The sequence below is a fragment of the Homo sapiens genome, chromosome 18 (genome assembly GCF_000001405.40).
Source record: "Homo sapiens chromosome 18, GRCh38.p14 Primary Assembly".
Lineage (NCBI taxonomy): Eukaryota > Metazoa > Chordata > Mammalia > Primates > Hominidae > Homo > Homo sapiens.
Window position 1 is genome coordinate 34,800,907 of NC_000018.10, and position 19,415 is coordinate 34,820,321.

General features: G+C 38.2%; 1 protein-coding gene across 70 annotated transcripts in view; it reads left to right on the forward strand.

Moving 5' to 3' along the window:
- The window catches only part of DTNA (dystrobrevin alpha), a 398,533-nt gene that overhangs the window by 307,595 nt on the left and 71,523 nt on the right, over window positions 1-19,415 (forward strand). For 64 of the 70 annotated variants that reach the window (XM_047437323.1, XM_047437332.1, XM_047437326.1 and 61 more), the window contains 4 exons: window positions 5,313-5,398; window positions 11,053-11,207; window positions 15,003-15,108; window positions 17,258-17,424. In XM_047437323.1, the coding sequence (XP_047293279.1) occupies window positions 5,313-5,398; window positions 11,053-11,207; window positions 15,003-15,108; window positions 17,258-17,424 (514 nt within the window). Of the gene's footprint in view, window positions 1-5,312; window positions 5,399-11,052; window positions 11,208-15,002; window positions 15,109-17,055; window positions 17,742-19,415 lie in introns of those variants that run through there. The other 6 variants (NM_001198942.1, NM_001198944.1, NM_032980.4 and 3 more) reach the window with 4 other exon arrangements.

Genomic DNA, 19,415 nt, shown 5'->3' on the forward strand with positions numbered 1-19,415 from the left:
TAATATATTCTTAGTTGGAAGAAATCAGTATGTCTCTTTATAAGATTATGGGAAACCCAGGGCAGACTAAAGCAGTTTCTCACTTCTTTATTATGACAAGTCAAATTTTGAAGTAATTCAAATTTTTAACATAAAACACCCTACAAATCACTATATATATTTTAACCAAAGGGTAAGTGCCTTCCTCTTTCCATTTTCAATCAGTTGTCCCCTAGAATAACTTGAAAAGTCTCAGAGTGAGAAAACAAAATGTAAAGGAAGATAAAAGATTTCAAGAAACATTGATTTATGAAGCCATTTCAGTTTGTGCTTTTGATAATTTGCATATATTAGCCTGGTTCTCTTAAATACCTTGTTACATGTTAATTATATACCAATACACAATTTTATTGAGAATTTTTGAATGTCGATCTAGAACAAGAAAGTAAAGTTTGTATAGGCAAAAGTTCCAGGGTAATTGGCTTAGAAACAGAACATATTCCACTATGCCAAAAGACTATAATGGAGAAAATGAATAAAGTATGTATTATGCGCTGTTTTCTCTCTGCATTGAAATGGAAAACATTACAAACAAAATACTATTATTTTATTTTAAAAATAAAATAACTTTTTTTTTTTTTTTTGAGATGGAGTCTCGCTCTGTCAACAGGCTGGAGTGCAGTGGCGCGATCTTGGCTCACTGCAATCTCCGCCTCCTGGGTTCAAGCAATTCCCCTGCCTCAGCCTCCGAAGTAGCTGGGACTACAGGTGCACACCACCATGCCCGGCTAATTTTTTGTATTTTAGTAGAGACGGGTTTTCACCATGTTGGCCAGGATGGTCTTGATCACCTGGCCTCTTGTTCTGCCCACCTCAGTCTCCCAAAGTGCTGGAATTACAGGCGTGAGCCATCACCCCTGGCCAATTACTATTTTAATAATAAAATGATATACTAATATTAATTCTTTAAGCTTTTTCTGTGCCTTTTATATTACCAAAGAATTAACTGTACTAGCAGCCTTAATTCACAAAGAAAGACTTACATGGCCATGTGATTGACCACATCACAGACTCCTAAGGCTGATCCCGCCCCTAAAAGTCTGTGATTCATCCAGACTTGTGCCCTGTGATGCATCCAGTCTCTCAAACACATCTGGCTCTTTTATGTCTTGAGATGGCAGTCAGAATTGCACATGAAGTTGAAGGCATACTGCCATGGCTTTTCATAAAAGCAAGAGAAGTATACAGACTTTTTCTGTGCACTTCCTGATGCTGCCCCACTCCCAGGCTGTTTGGCCTGAAGTTTTAGGGAAAATCTATGTTTTTCAACCTCAGCACACACTGGTGGTTGGCTTCCTGGGTTGCAGCTGACAGCCAGCATTCCATCGGTGCAGTTTTACTACCTTACTGCAAAGGCATTGCCAGAGACATAGTCATTTTGGAGCAATATGCTGCTTTCCTGCTCGTTTGTACAGGACTCTGAGGAGCTTCCCATTATCCATCCTCATGCACTTGTCTTTCTGCTTCCTAGACACTTAACAGATTTTATTGGCTGTTTGTAAATCAAACTGGTCCCAACTAATGACAATTCCTGATGAGCATAGCTCCTAAATTTTTCCATTTGGGATGTATCAGCTTTTCTCTACTCCTTGCTTCCTGTGTTAATGCCAGTGCCTTTTTTCACAATGAAATAGGGACCCTGGTCCCATGTTTTGCTCAAAATATGGGCTGATAACCAGAGGAATATATGCTACCTAACTGTGGTTGGCTAACTAGCCAACAGAAGACGCTTTTCACTTTGGGTTTCATAAAATAATTTTGTGCAGAATAATCTCACAGTCTCTATAATTTATTTAAACAAATCTTCAGAAACATAATTTTTTTGTTAGAGAATTCCTGAATTTGAAATTAGGGTAACTATAGGGACTTTTTCATCACAAATTTTTTTCAACCATTATTTCCTACTCACAATACAACTGTGCTTATGTGATATATTTACTCTTCAAAAAAAGCTGATATTTTTTAAAGGCCCCCTCTTTAAAATTGGACACCCTCCTCTTCACCCTGTTATATTTACAAATAATGTTCTTTTAAAAAAGATCCATTTGTATTTAAGTCTTTAGTGCTCCCATTCTCTGTTGTAGAGTCAGTCATCTCTGCTCACTCCTCAAACCGCATAAATATTTATCCAGTGCCTGGGATAAGCAAAGTATGAACTCACCCAGTTTTGGTGTGCTTGCCACGACCTAAATCCCTGCATACCCCCAGAATCCTTCTTCATGACAGAGTCACATTTGCAATCTGGCACAGTAGCTTGCATAACAATAGATTCCAGTGGCCTAATTTCACCCTTGAGTTCCTGTAAAACCCTCATTCGGCTGCCCTCCACTTGGTGATTTATCTAGATTTATTGTGTCAATTTGGCAGAACAGCTCTGATATAACCACTGTTGGATCTAGTATCATCAATCTTCCATTTCCAGGAACAATACAGGACTGGCAATCTCCCCATGATCTTCTTCATTAAAAGCTGAGGTCTAAGAGTACACCTATGAGCTATCATTGTTTCATCCTTTGGAGAACTCTCTGTTCCAAAATCATTGGTGGTCAATCCTCTCCTTTTAAATAAATTATTCTCTCGGATTCATTGAAAGGAACTGTATTGCTCTTGAAGCCTCACATATAATGCTCCTCGATTTCTTTGCATTTTGAGGGCCACATTATTGCTATGTGATTGCTAATCTTCCATACCTTGTAGACTTTACTGTTGTCATTATTTGAACCATGTTACAGTTTAGGAAAAAAGCTAATTACCTCCTGAGGTCAAATGTTTGATACTTCCAGTTATCCATGTAATGGGAGGACAGGAATGCTTTTGAATAGGCTGGTTTTTACAAAATCATTGCATTTCTATTACAGCTACCTGCTCTAAAATTAATAACTCACTGAGTGGATGGACACTCAAAATTCTAGGTGTAATTTTTATAATGATTACTAATCATTTCTTAATATAAGAAATGTATTAGTCACTAACTCTGTGTGAGACCAAGTGCTAGGCACTAGGAATTCAAGTAATTCAGAAAACATCATCTCTGCACTGAAGGATCTCACAATGTAGAATCCAGTCACATTGTGGACATGTAAAAATCACATCAAGGTCATTCATTGTGACAGATGCCACATAATAAGTAAAAAGTGAAGGGCAGAGTGATTTCCTAGACATCTAGGAGAAAAGCTGTTTTCAGAGCAGGGTGAATAATGATATTGAGTGGCATCTTGACAAATGGATGGGAGGGTTGTGGGCAGACCATGTTAGGAGGGGGAGGGGCCAGGAGGCGTTGAACAGTTTGACCATGGTGTGCAGTACAACAACAGAAATGGTAGCAGAGGAGACTAGACGAGACTGCTGGGTGTGCCATGAGCAAACGTTAGAACTTCGTCCTGAGGGCAAAAGGCGGCCAGAGGGTTTTAAGCAATGAAATAATATGGTCAAATTTGTGATATGAGTGTGCAAGCAGAGAGATCATTTCAGAGGTTATGACCGTGTTAAAGCAAGAGCTGATGGAAGCAGTGACAGTGGGAATGAAAAGAAGGGAATGGATTCAACATACAGGTAACAAGTCTAGCTGAGTCCTTCAAACATTTGTTCGGAGTGGTAGTAATTAAGGAAGAGCAAGAAATCAAAGGCGACCCCAACTCAGGATTCATTTTCAGGTAACTAGGTACATGGTGTTTCTAATAACCAGCAGAAGGACTGCAGGAGGAACAGCAGGTTAGTACTACGGTGAGTCTGAGTATTATGGAAGAGCTCTGTAAAGATAATGAGTTCTCTTTTGAACATACTTAGTTTGGCATGAGGTATCTAAGTGAAGGTTTCAGATAAATGATTACATAAATCTGGTGCTGAGGCTTAGAAATAAATATGAAAGAGTCACTAGCATAGGGTTCAGTCAATTTTGCATTCTGGCTGGTTGTATTTGAGGTATTACACTAAAAATGACAGCGACAGTGATAAATAACAAATGATCCCTCTCTGAAACCTAGTAAGGAACAAAACCACGATTATTTATATCTTATTTTTCTTATATATAAGGCATATGAATCTTATTCATATAAATTATTTATTCCATGTACTAAAGCTTTGCCAATACAAGCTTTACTTACCTTTCAGACACATTATTATTTTAAATAACTCTTTTGACCATTCTTAAGATTAGCAACTATCAAATAAATGAATTACTAATATGATACAGTTTCTGATTCCAAAGTATAAGAATAAACAGTTGATTCCAGCTGGAAAATCATTTAGCTGAAACATTATACTTTTTATCATATCCCCTTTATATCACATTTGTGAAGGACAGATTTGTTATACTTCCTGAATCAATGAGGATTTGGCAGCACTTGTGTCATTTGGGTAGAAAGAAAGTGTTCAAACAGAGCTTTTACTTTTTTTTTAAGACAGAGTCTCCCTCTGTCGCCCAGGCTGGAGTGCAGTGGCACAATGTTGGCTCACTGCAACCTCCACCTCCCGGGTTCAAGCGATTCTTATGTCTCAGCCACCTAAGTAGCTGGGATTACAGACGTGCACCACCACACCTAGCTAATTTTTGTATTTTCAGTAGAGACAGGATATCACCATGTTGGCCAGGCTGGTCTCAAACTCCTGACCTCCAGTGATCTGCCCACCTCAGCCTCCCAAAGTGCTAGGATTACAGACGTAAGCCACCGTGCTCGGCCAGAGCTTTTACTTTTGCCCCTTTAAAATAGCAGCTCTCTTTGAAAAGTAAATATATCACATAAGCACAGTTGGCTTGTGGGTAGGAAATGATGGTTGAAAAAAATGTGTGATGAAAAAGTCCCCATAGTTACCCTAACCTCAAATTCAGAAATTCTCTGACAAAAAAAAAAAAAAATGATGTTTCTGAAGCTCTGTTTAAGTAAATTATAGAGATTCTGGAATTATTGTGTGCAAAAATCATTTTATGAAACTCCAAGTGAAAAGCATGTTCTGTTATTTAAATCCATAGTTAGCTAGTAGATATTCCTCTGGCTATCAGCCCATATTTTGAGCAAGTGACATATACAAAGAATAAGCTAAGAGATTCTGATGTCTCTTAAGGAAACATTGAATAGACAGTTCTTCAGATATGTGCATTGAATTGTTTTCACAACCTTTTATAAAATGGATGTGCCCACATAAGGCATGCAGCTATGTATCCTGTGATTTCTACAGAATAGAAAATGTCAAACCTTGTTGCTGGAAGTACTCCAAATGACATCATGGTTTTGTTTTGTTTTTGTTTTTGTTTTTTTTCTATTACCATTAAACAGGGAAGGCCATGGTAAAATTTCAGTATTTGCTGTCAAAATGGCTTTAGCCACATTGTGTGGAGGGAAGATCATGGACAAATTAAGATGTAAGTTATTATTCCTTGTGTGTCTGTTTGCTTTTCCTTGCTAGGTACCACCCTTTTCTCTCCCTCATTCCTCTATGTCCCCTCCCCATTTGTATCTTTCCTCATTCTATGAGAGTTGTTTGAAATACATTTTTCACTGATGTTTGGATTTTGTCATAGCGATATTTTCATATTAGATAAATGCTAATGAAATGAATGTTTTCCTCTACTTATAACCTGTTGAGTATCACCAACTGGCCTCTTTCTGAAATTAAAGTAAAATAAGCACTCTTTGCAGTTAATTGTGTTATACTGCCTTACACGTGGTACAGGATGATAGGCACGTGAAGGCTTAGTGGGAAACCTTCCCCTTTAAATCTTCTAAAAGCAAGACTCTTGGCACATTTCCTCATTCTTCTCAGCCAGCACTGTTCAAATCACTGGGAACTCCAAAGGTTTCAAAGCCAACAATGTCAGGAAAGAAGAATAGGAATTACATAGAGACAGCATTGGCAGAGTTAACTAGATGCCAGTAAAAGCATGGTAGCTAAAGTACATTGAGTAATTGTGGGCCTTAATGAACATTTTGTCTCTAAATATGGTAGAGTTCCTTAACCAACGACACACTGGGGATTGTTTGTTTGTTTGTTTGTTTGCTTTAGGTAAAGAAACTGAGACTCAGTTAACCATATGGCTAAGACGATGCCAGGATTTGAACCCTGACTTTTTTTTCTACACAGGTGGTTCACAAATTTTAGCATACATCAGAATCACCTTGAGGGCTTCGGTAAAACATAGATTTCTGGGTCCCACCCCAAGAATTTCTGACTCAGTAGGCCTAGGATGAGGGTGGGTGAAAAGCATATTTATTTCTAACTAGTTTAAAATGATGTTGATGCCGCTGTTTAAATTTAAAATTTCCATTTAACCCTATCCTTTTCCCTAAATAGTATGAGTTGGGGCTATAATGCTGTGTTAGAAAGGGCACTGTCCTGGGAATTGGGAGTTCCAGGTTGCAAGCCCAGCTATGTGACTAATTTGCTGAGTTATCCTTTGTCAGTTACTTCACTTCTTTAGTCCTCAGCCTCCTTCTGTATCCTAAATTTTGGGATTTTGTAAGATACCCATAGAATCACACCTGGCTGCATGCAGCCATCTGTGTGGCTCACAGCACAAGGCTCACCTGCTGCCTGTCCTCTTCTGAGTGAGATCGCTTGCTTCTTGATCCACCCAAAAGGAAAGAATAAAGGAAGACACAGAACACCTTTTGTTCCTTTGAAATTTCCCTGGAGATGCTCCAGGGATGAGTCATTCCAGTGGACCAGTAAGTAAGTGAAAGGGACAACAAAGCCTCAGGTAGCCACACAGCTTCCCTCACTTCTGGGACTTCCCTCCATGGAGAGCCAAAGACAGCCAGGATTCAGAGAAGCCTAGCCAGACCTTAGGAGGAGCCATGTAGCTTCTCTTTTGTTAGCCTGAAAGATATAGAAAATTAAAAACTATCTACCTCAGTGCTTATTTGAGAGATAATAGCTAAATTAGAAGGTGCTGACACCGAGGGCTTTTTTTTTTCTTTTTTTTTTTCAAAAAAAAAGAAAAAAAAAAAGCTTCAGAGTAATCCTCGGGCATTTCCTTCAGGGTTAAGCCAGAAAGAGAAAGTTTAGCAAAATGAACCAAGGCTAAGGAAGGAAGTTCTGAGAACCTTGTCTGCCAACCCCAACTGGCCATTTACGAAGAGGACATTAGATAAATGTAAAAAACAAAACAAAAGCTAAACAAAAAAATCCACTTGAGAGACATCTAAAAATACCTGTTTAATATTATATTAATAGGTACCTGGATAGAAGGGTCCCATATTAAAATAGGTTTAAGGAAATCTAAGAAAACCAGTTTTCTGCATCTCAGAACGTCTGTCAACCTTTAACATACCAGGCTAATTCTGAGCCCTCGAAGTCCTGGTGTTTGCTGTCTTTCCACTCAGCTTTGTTCAGTGTAAGATTTCATCCTCCTCCAAGAGTAAGGGTGGAGGGTGAGGGAGGGGGGCTTGGTGGAGGTGACAGTCACAGGAGTCACATCTCACTACAGAGGTCCCCAAGCCCTTACAGCTCATCACCTAGGTGGCGTCTCAGACCAATTACTAAACTAATTACTGGTTAGAGAAAAAGTATGACAGCAATGGCCATTGTGTAATCCACTTTCACCTCCTGTGCTCAGAAGGGCCATCCCTTTCCCTCAACCCATGAGCAATCCATGAACAAATGTGGGTCAAATAAAGATGAAGGGAATGGCTGGTAGGTAAGGGACTAGCAATGTCAGCACAGTTACAAAGTTCAAAATATAACTAAGTTATTGATTAGATCTTTACAATTGTGAAAACCCTTCCAGTTCTCTCTTGGGCCCAGGAGTTCAAAGGAAACAGTATAACTGCTACAGTGCTTTCTCCTCACCCCATCCCATCACCCTCCAAAAAGCACTCTCTAGTGGCCAAAGTCTATCCTCTTTAGGGCAGTGAAAGAAGCAACAAATGCATGTGTCCCCTTGGAGGTAAACTAAGTTTTCTAGTCTGCAGAAACAAGCCCACAATATCACAGATTCTGTAGAAATACAGATAGTGTGACCCCGATAAATCGCATTCCCCACTTTGAGAGCAGTGCACCTGAATCACACCCTTATGTGTCCCTGGTTCTCTGACTGAGGAGTCACTCTTTGTATAGTTAATCCTGGGAAGATGGTTTTAGCAGTTTCCAGGTAACTTGGTTAAAATCAATTTGACCAAAAACAATTTAGTTAAAGGTAATTTGGTCACAAAAATCTCTCCAGAATGTTAACTAGTCAAAAATGAATATCCTGAGTTATGAATATTTCTAGTTTCTGTGATAATTATTAATGGAATGAGCGAATGTGGGCAAATTTACCCACAAAATCTGCCCGCAGAGACCAGTGGCTGCCCCTTGGTGAGTGGGATTGTGGGTGTTCCTATTGTATTCTTTTGCTGGCTTGCATTTTAATGATAAAACAGATAAGGTAGCCAGGCATGGTGGCACATGCCTTTAGTCCCAGCTACCCAGAAGGCTGAGGCAGGAGAATCACTTGAACCCAGGAGGCAGAGGTTGCGTGAGTTGAGATCACGCCACTACACTGGGCAACAGAGCGAGACTCCATCTCAAAAACACAAATCAAAACAAAACAAAACAAAAAAAACAGGTAAGGTCATGATTTTCTACGTTGCTTCTGTAATAAGAAAAAGTAAAATGAAGGGATATGGAATGTTTCAGGCTTGAGGGTTTTGTTTTCCCTTCTTTAAAGTTTTTCTAATTCACGTTAAGCCAAAATGCCAGCTGTGCTTGTTTGGCAATTTTTCTATTTTTGTGCATAGGGTTGAGAGATATTTAGCTCGTTCCAGCTACTCCCTTATTGTTGGTGAACACAGAGCAAGAATAACTGGCTGAAAATAAGTCGGAAATTTTAAAAAACAAAGAGAAAGCAACAGAAAATTTGAAGTTGATTTTCTTAACGCTTTAAAATGCATTAGAAGAGAAAACAACACTATGTTGCAACATAATTTCCAGTAATTAGGGCACCATTCAGTGGTAGGGTGTTCCCTGTGTAATTCCAGGGAGCATCATTGACACAGCTTAGGAGATGAAGGGCGCCCCCTGCAGTCATGTGCCATGGCAACCTAAACATAAACTTACCTAATAACACTACTATTTTGTCAGATTGTTCTTGGCCCAATTATAAGCTGTTTTAATGGGTTGGAACATTTGTTTATACTTCTGTCTTAGGGCTCCTGGATAGTTCTAAGGATCTTAAGGGATTCTAAATCCAATGCTGTAAGCCTGGTATGTCATGTGCTGTTCTAAAGCTTTGGGGAGGACTTTTTAAGTCTTTTTAAAAGACTAGTATTATGGAAAATACTGCATATTTATTGAGTTTCTATTACTGAACTGGTTGTTTTGCCTCTACGCCTACCCATAGACTTTCTAACGCACTGACCTACTTTAAATTCTTCAGTATCTCCCTCAGCATCTTCTGGACACAACCTAAACTCCTCAGTACAATTCAGCCATAAAAAAGAATGAAATCCTGTCATTTGAGGCAACAGGGATGAGCCTGGAGGACATTATGTTAAGTAAAATAAGTCACGCACGGAAAGATAAATACTGCATGTTCTCACTCATATGTGGGAGCTAAAAAAAAAAAACTGAACTCATGGAAGTAGAATTGTGCTTATTAGAGGCTGGGAAGGGTAGGGGGCTGCAGGAGGTTGGGGGGATAGGGAGAGGTTAGCTAATGGCTACAAAATTACAACTATGTAGGAGGAATACGTTCGAGTGTTCTATAGCACTGTAGGGTGACTATAGTTAACAAAATTTTATTGTATATTTTCAAAAAGCTGGAAGAGAAGATGTTGAATATTCCCAATACAAAGAAATGATAAATGTTTGAAATGAAGGTAACGCCCATTATCCTGATGTGATCATTACACATTGAACACATGTATCAAGCTATCACTCTGTAGCCCATAAATATGTACATTAATTTTTTTACTCAGATAGAATCTCTACAGTCTCATGGTTAATAAACTATTTGAAACAGCGGAAACCCTTTATAAATGGAGTATTTAATGAAAATGAGAGTCAATTCATGTTCTCAAAACCATAATCCGATAAAAGCCTCTGATATGCTTAACATCTGACTTTGGTGTAAAAACAATGTTCCCAGATTATATTTTGACCTTGAAAAATTAAACCTAAAGTGAATAGAGGTGGCACATTCACAGCAGTTTATCCCAGCAGCTGTGCTGGCCTGGTGACAAGCTAGTTAGCATGGTGACAAACTATATAATAGCAAACCCTTTCATTCTAATAGTGATTTGCACAGAGGAATTATAAAACACCTTGGGAAATTATGCCATTAATATTCATTAAATGCACATAGTGGCAGAAATTGAAGAACAGTGGTTCAGTGAAGCCATAGGCCCTTCAGAGAAAGATCCAGGACCCTGACTTTACCTCATTGATCATCCACAAGACCAGGCTTCCTCTTCACTACACGAGTCAGAAAACCCTTCCCTGTAAATCAAGTGCCTTCCACCCAGAAAACTGTAATTCATAGAAAGTTTTCTTCTTCTGTAGGAAGTTAATCAAGTGTTTGTCATTACATCTTTATCCTCACCGTGTCTTTGATTTTCAAATATCTTACACCAAAATCCGAAAGTTTTAGTGATAATATAAATTGGTAAATTTCTAGCTAGATAAATGAATATACGCACACCCCAACTTTATAGTAAAACTCTCATTGTGTTTCAAATGAAGTCAGCGTCTCTCTCATATATACAAAAATTTCTCTTGTTGAGCTACATGAGAGTTAATAGTTGACCTCAAAACAAAAATGTAGTGTCTTATTAAAGACATTTAATAAGTGTCTCTCTCATTAAAATGTTAACTTTACCCAAATTACTTGTGATTGCTATGTGCCAGAATCATCTACAAAAAGAAACCAGAGAAAACATTATGCCAGGAATATTTCAGCATAAAAATTAGCTTTTATATTATTCTTTCATAAAAAATGTTTATTTTGCTACTTTTTTGTCATTTGTAGCAGATATATTGAACAAAAACAGTGGAGAATGTTCATGTGATGAATAATATCTTTCCTTTTCCTTTCATCAGATATTTTCTCAATGATTTCTGACTCCAGTGGGGTGATGGTTTATGGACGATATGACCAATTCCTTCGGGAAGTTCTCAAACTACCCACGGCAGTTTTTGAAGGTCCTTCATTTGGTTACACAGAACAGTCAGCCAGATCCTGTTTCTCCCAACAGGTAGGAGAAAAATATGTTTAAGGAAGTATCTCTTTCAAACAGTGGTTGCTCTCCTTCTAGATGTCATTCCAGGTCACAGATACTCAGACAAATTATTCTGTGTGATAGCAACCTGTATTGTATTTTTCAGCCTCTGGCAAATGACCTCTGAGCCAGTAACTAAACCCAGCACATCTGGATCACAATAATAGACAGTGTTTACTGACCATGAGGCAGGCACTGTGCTAAATTTTTTCCTTTCATTGTCTAATTTAATCCCTACAACAACCCTTCTGTGTTAGTCTCTTTTCACACTGCTATAAAGACATACCCGAGACTGGGTAATTTATAAAGAAAAGAGGTTTAACAGACTCACAGTTCCGCCTCAGGAAACTTACAATCCTGGTGGAAGGTGAAGGGAAGCAAAGACCTACCTTCTTCACATGGCGACAGGAAAGAGAAAGAATGAAAAGCCCAGGGGAATCTGCCATTTATAACACCATCGGATCTCCTGAGAACTCCCTCACTATCATGAAAACAGCATGGGGGAACCACCCCATGATCCAATCACCTCCCACCAGGTCTCTCCCTCAACACCTGGGAATTACAGTTCAAGATGGGATTGGGTGGGGACACAAAGCCTTACCATATCACCTACACCCTCAGTGTCATTATTTTTACTATCACTGCACTTTCAAAAGGGCTTAATTGTCTCACTCAGCCTCATGTGAAATATATGCTTGACCCGGCAACAAGCTTTAACATTGGTTTAGCAAAGGATACCAGAAAGGAATCCCAACATCTGCCACATCATGACCTGAGAGGCCCAAAATATGGTAAACACAGCTGCCTGAATCTTCTACAGCATGACACATTTGGGGTTCCAAGTGATGTGTTTTAACTGGGTATGGCTCAAGCTACCCTGGGAAGCTGCATAGTTTAGGGGGCTATCTATGTGTGTACCTCTCTGGTCATGTAGAGAGACTCCAGGCCCATTCTCCAGCGTAGCCCAGTGGTAGCATAGAAATCCATACATTAAAGGTTAGTTTACCATTTTTTGAGAATCCAAACTAACTTTTTTGTCCTCTAAAAATGCCTCTTGACTGGGTGTGGTGGCTCACTCCTATAATCCCAGGACTTTGGGAGGCCGAGGCTCAGGAGCTCAGGAGTTCAAAACCAGTGTGAGCAACATAGGGAAACCCCATTTCTACGAAAAATTTTTAAAACATAGCCAGGCATGGTGGTACATGCTTGTAGTCCTAGCTTCTCAGGAGGCTGAGGCAGGAGGATAGCTTAAGCCCGGATGGCGCCACTGCATTCCAGCCTGGGCGACAGAGCAAGGCCCTGTCTCAAAAAAAAAAAAAAAGGTATATCCCTGCCCCATAAAATGCATACAACAAATGCTCACTACACAGCTTTATGGATTAAGAGTCAGGAAGTCTTTTCTTTTTACTGAAATTAACTTTTAAAAGTGTCAATAGGCCGGGTGAGGTGGCTCACTCCTGTAAGCCCAGCACTTTGGGAGGCCAAGGCGGGCGGATCACAAGGTCAGGAGTTTGAGACCAGCCTGTCCAATATGTTGAAACCCCGTCTCTACTAAAAATACAAAAATTAGCCGGGCATGGTGGCAGGCACCTGTAGTCCCAGCTAGAAGCAGGAGAATTGCTTGAACCCGTGAGGCAGAGGTTGCAGTGAGCCAAGATTGTGCCACTGCACTCCAGCCTGGGAGACAAAGCAAGACTCCATCTCAAAAAAAAAAAAAAAAAAAAAGTCAATCACTTCAAAACACAAATCTATTTTTTCATTCAATTTTACTGCTTTCCAACTTTTCTCATGGCATGCTAAATGTATGGCTCCTTTTATTTTTACAGTGCTTTATGCCTCACAAAGTGAATTATCTGATTTATGGCTTGCAACAACCCTGTGACCTAACAAGGAAAATATGATTCTTTTTTAACAATATAAAGTTCATAGCTAGTGAGGGCAGGGGGCTGAGTTTTTAACTCTGGTCTTCTAATTCCATCTGTTAATGTTATTCTTGTGTTCTTGTTGTTGTTGCTTTTGTTTTGTGCACTTTCAGTTCATATTTACAAATATGCAGATGATCTGACTCAAGGAAATGTAACTACCTGTTGTATTACTTCACCCAGTCATGGAAACAAGAATAATTTCATTTATAACTGAATTCTTGAATTTTAGTTAGTGTATTATAGAATAATTGGTAAATGTGCTAATGCCTCAGAATATATGTCTCATTCAAAATCAGCTAGAATAATAGGACTGGGTTTTAAAAAAAAAATCTTAAAAGGACCTATGCTGGTGTGATGGCTCACACAGTAATCCTAGCACTGAGAGGCTGAGGCAGGAGGAGAGCTTGAGTCCAGCAGTTCAAGACCAGCCTGGACAACATAGTAAGATCTCATCTCTGAAAAAAAAAAAAAATTAAACAATTAGCCAGGTGTGGTGGCACACACTTATAGTCCCAGCTACTTGGGAGGCTGAGATGAGAGGATCCCTTTAGCCCAGGTGTTCAAGGTTGCAGTGAGCTATAATTGTGCCACTGCACTCCAGCCTGGGCAGCAGAGTGAGATCCTGTCTCTAAAAGAAAAAAAAAAGAGAAAAAAGGACCTATGTGTTCAAGAATTATATGTGATGTTGACATGTTCAAAATTCCTTTTGAAATATCCTATAGACTGTTCTGTTATATGATTTATATATATCCTTAATGATAAGCAACTTATACATGTTGAAATCATAATAGCATTGTTGGAAACTTCCAGGAGTGCTTTTTAGCAAGTATGACAAATAGTCAAAATGAATAAGATCATTTCAAATATGAAAAGAGGTAACACAAAAATAATAAGACCAGTTTATTTTTGTACTTAATGAATTGGCTATTAACAGCTACTCAAGAGTCTGAGGTAGGTAGGAGGAGGTAGGAAGACAGCTTGAGACCAGGAGTTAGAGTCCAGCCTGGGCAACATAATGAGACCCCATCTTTCAAGCAAATAAATAAAATATTTTAAAAAATAAATAAATAAAATTATCCCATCCCCTTTGATATTCTAGTTCAAAATTTCAAGTAGTGATTTTTGCATATAAATATGTATTTTTTTATTTATACCATTACAGTACATGTATTAATATAGCTTTCTTACTTTTATCATTTTGAAAGAAACTTATAGATACAATGCATTCCTTTTGTACATCCAAAAGGACCTGGATAGTGAGAAAGAAGCAGACTGAATTGAGAGGAATTATATATAAAGTAATAAAAGGAGCAAATTTTTAAAAATGTAGATGGTTCTGTCCTAACAGGATTCCCTCCTGCTCTTGTATAACAGAACCATTCACATTAACCACTAAATATTTAGTACTTAAGGAAGTTGAGGAAGCTCAGAAGGGAAGTTGTTCTATAAATTTAGAAGACTGACTGACAGGAAAATTGTAGAGTGAGCTATGATGCGTTCTTGAGTAAAATTCCATGGAGAATTTCCATTCTTTATTTTGCTTCATTATTTTTATACTGTCTTTCATATATACAAATGATGCTCTTGGAATTGTTTTTCTCCTGGTGATACTATTGACTCAGCCTCAGTGGAGAGAATTCAGTCCTATGTCTGCTTAGGTATAAAAAGCAAACGATGTTTTCAGTTCTAAACTAGTTTAATAACACATTTGGCAAGTTCTGTTTCTTCAGATATTAGACATTTATTGAGTGCTCTTTTGTTTCAGTCTCAAATGATATGATATTTACATAGCAGGTAAATTGAGATGATTCTCTGTCCTAAATTTATGGGGGGTTTTTTTATGCAGAAAAAAGTCACGTTAAATGGTTTCTTGGACACGCTTATGTCAGATCCTCCCCCGCAGTGTCTGGTCTGGTTGCCTCTTCTGCATCGACTAGCAAATGTGGAAAATGGTGAGTAGTTACTAAGGAGCAAAGGTGATTTTTTAAATTATTGAAATTAGGCCATTAGTTCTACAGTTAGTAAGCCCAGGCTGTTGTTTTAGGGAAGCCTATTTAGTGGCTCTTAGTTTTGTTTAGGGTAGAACTAACCCATCTCCCTGTTCGGGAAGGCCTTAAAGGACCACTGAAAAATTAGGACTGTCAGTTCCAAAAATAAATCTCATGGTCTTCTTCTCAATTACAAGTCAGGTGTGGTTAAAAGACTTGGCACGATAGAAGGCGAACTTCAACAAGGAGTGTGACATTATTTTGTATTTGTTTTAGATCCGAATTTCTCATATTTGCATACACGGTACTGATTATTTCTTCCCAGGCACTCAGCCAGAAATAGGTGGGAGAAATGAGAAAAAAAAATAGATGATAGCACCCTGTTAATCTTTAGTCATATGTTCCAGATTGTGAGCTTTCAATAGTTGTACTTACGTTAAAGATAAGAGTAAAATAACTTTCGTATCATGTCTTTTTTTAAAGCAAGTATTTCTAGGATAAAAGGAACTACTGTTGGCATATCCAGATTTAAATATGAAATACCATTTGGGGCAAAATTTACAGAAAATTAAACATGGAGCAGTTCAGTGCCTCCATCTAATCTTTAGGTGTTCCTACTTATTGTTCAATGTAACTCTGAAATTTCTCCAGACTTGACGAGGAAATAATTTAGTCTCTATCTCTTACTGAGATTTAACTTAAGTCTCTATATATTACTCAACTTCTGTGTATTTCTTTAATATACATTGCAGCTAAAGTTAGCTTAATTTTAAATTATCATTCAGAATTTTTAGCATCTGCCCTTATTTATCTGTTAGTTAGAAGTTATGAATTTATCCTGTTTTTCTCATGGAGAAAATTTAAAGAATGAATTTATTTTATTTTTTTGCAATCACTAACAATCATAGTTTTTTTATGTTTATCCATATGCAGAAGCGAAGAGCAATCAAGGTCCATGTTATTATGCAAAATGAGTTCACGTTACTGTTTACAGTTCTAGAACTAGTCATTTTCCAATCATAAAGCTATAATTTCTTTCGTTCTCTCTCAGCATTTCCTGCTGCAGGAGATCAGTTTCTTAGGCACCATCCCAGAACAGTTGTCCCTAGATTGAAGTCCCACTCTAGTCTTTCTCAAGAGCCGGGAAGAAAGGTTATGACACTTGTTTAGAAGACAATGCGTCCAGAGCTAGTTATGTCTTTGTTTTTACACTTTGCTTTTTATCTTCATTTATTATTATTTTCATTGTTTTTCCTGACTGGTTAGGCCGGAGAATAGCTTTACCAAAGGCAAGAATTGTTATTGTTGTTTTAGTATCTAGCTCATAGCATGTAGACAATTACTTGGATTTGATCACTTAAATCTAATATTTTACTTTGCTTCAAATCTAGTATTTTGCTTTGCCTGCTTTATAATTCAAATTTCCTACCAAAGAAAGTTAACCGTCTCTTGAGGCATTTGAATTATTTAGAACTGTTTTCAGATAATTTGCACATCTTTTTTAGGGCCCTATACACCTGCCTCAGGAAAGAAAAAAAAATCTGTTTGTCAGATGTAGGCAACACCACTCGTTAAGTAAGCCATTAGTCACTCTATTTTTTAAAAAATAACTTAATTATCTCATCCACACCAGTTTTCCATTCTCTGCCCATCTTCCTTTCTTTTTTCTTCCTCTCATTCTCCGTGTCTCTGATATTCGCTCTCTTCCCACTGGACAATCAGCATTCACCCCTTGTGCTTCTGAGTCTTCCAGTGAGCTGTGCTGGTCTCCTGGAGACAGAGAGCAGTTTGGGGTAAAGGCAAGTCTGTTTGGCTAATTTAAATTCTTGTAATGTGAGAGATGGGAATAGAAAGAGCAAATGGCATTACAGAGATTTTTGTTGTTAAAAGGACACCTCTTCTCCATCCCATTTCATTTCATTTCCCCACAGGCATGATTGAAAAGGGTTGTAAGATTCCAGGAATGAACTAAATGTTTCTCTGAGCCCAAATCAACTATCATCTGAAATCGTGGTGCAGAGAAGAAAGGTGCAATTCCTGTAAGGCTGTATTTTTCCTTCTTCTGGTTCATACTTTTGTTTTCTTGGTTTTTCTTCACTTACTTCCCCCTTAGTCTTCCATCCGGTTGAGTGTTCCTACTGCCACAGTGAGAGTATGATGGGATTTCGCTACCGATGCCAACAGTGTCACAATTACCAGCTCTGTCAGGACTGCTTCTGGAGGGGACATGCCGGTGGTTCTCATAGCAACCAGCACCAAATGAAAGAGTACACGTCATGGGTAAGGCAAGGTCCAGGCAATACTTGGAGTTGGATGTGTGAGTGTTGCCCAGAGTTAAAGGGAATATCAAGGATGGTGGCAGAATTAAAGGGCAAACTTACCTTCCATCCCAGGTCTAGTATTCAGTCCCCCTTCCTCCCACTCTCCACCCTACTGCGTGCTCTTACTTATTCTGTTGGAACCCAGTGTAGCTTCCTGAGATTTAAAATATAGGAAGACTCAAAACTATGTTACTTCTTGGAATATAGATAATTCAGTACTGATTTAAATAACAACTGAATAGCAAGGACCTTCTGGAACATAATCTTACATTCACAGTAAGTTAAAATCTTTTCCAAGTTTTGTTTTGTGGAAACGGCTTAAAAATTATTGTTAGTTTTATTTTTCTTAGATTCTGGAGTTCTTTTAAGTGCGTGACTAGAATATTAAAGAAACAAGTATGAGAGGAGAGTGTGGACTTAATAATACTGTTCCATTTTACTTTTCTGCAGAGGGTGGGGAGGGGAGATTGTGGTTATATTAGCAAACCATCTTTTCATGAAGAGTGTGAGTGACCAACCTGGCAAAGGTGGCATGTGAGTGTCTGTGTGATAGATGTATTCTCAGGAGCATGTGGTACCAGGTCTGTGGGAGGAAATGTGACTCCATGTGCTCACTGTTCAAATGGATTATGATTTACTGATGTTTATCTTCGTTAAACTCAAAGATCAGTTCCAGCAATGTTGCCCTCGTGCATCTCTTCAAGGATTGGTTTTTGTAAGGTGTACAGATTGGTTCTTGTGGGATATACCATCAGCCCTTCCAGCACCTCTTGGAATAGTTCCGTCACAAGAAAATCCAACCTATTTATGAGTTTTTCTATATTTTAATATATTTCAATTCAACCTTTAGTCTTTACTTAAAGAAGTCTTCAGAATATACATCTTAAATCAAAATGTTCTTCCTAGGAATTATTATTGGGAACCAATATTCAGTGTAAATATACTAGTACTTCATCACCGGTCAGATTCTGAATTCAAGCAACAGTTCTTCACTAAGGAAGAGTATACTGAGAACTTGCCAATTCCAATGCAACTCCTCACTGTTGTTTATGTCATGCTGAGGACAGATAGATACATTAACACGGATCATGAACTACAACTTAGTTTAGAAGAAAGGAGCTAAAACTTTCTATTTTCTTATTGTTAGCATATTACCAGTTTTCAAACTTCTACCCCATATCCTAAAAGATTTGATGTTTGAAAACTAATCAGATTTAGTTGTTTTACATAAATGCTAAATCTACATAAGGAGCCTCTTTCTTAGGGGTTGTAGACCTAACATTATATTCCAGGGCACTATCTGTACAAAGAAGGATCAGACTCCTTGAGAGGACAGAAGGCCCTGTGGTTTGTGGGGCAAAGAGCTGCTGTTGCTGCTGTCTTAACTGTTCTAAGAATTACATCTCCTAACAAAAGCCAGAGGGATTTCTTGAGCAATGCTCTTATTACTTAGCTTTTAAAAAATGAGGACAATAGTCACTTCATTATATTACCAATTATGGACTCTAGGTATAAAAGAAAGTGACAAAATTTGAAATGGTTTCTTATGGAAAGGAAAAACATGGTTAAGGTTTTATTATTATGTTGGTGCAAAAGCAATTGCGGTTTTTGCCATTACTTTCAAATGGCAAAAACCGCAATTGCTTTTGCACCAACCTAATGTATGTGGTAGGCTACTTTTTATAAAATTTTGACTGTATAACATCAGGATAAATTTCCCAACAATCTAAACGAAGAAGAGGCAGCGTGATTCTCTGGAAATAACCTGAATTTTAAATTCTGAAGACTCAGATTGAAGTTCCATTTTCACTTCTAACTGGATGTGTTCAGCCACACCTGAAACATCTTTCTTGCACCTGGATTCCCGCAAAATCTTCCACTCATCTTCATTCCAAGCCTATTTCCTCACAAACCATTTTCTGTTCTTAAGTGAGAGCAGTCCTTCTAGAA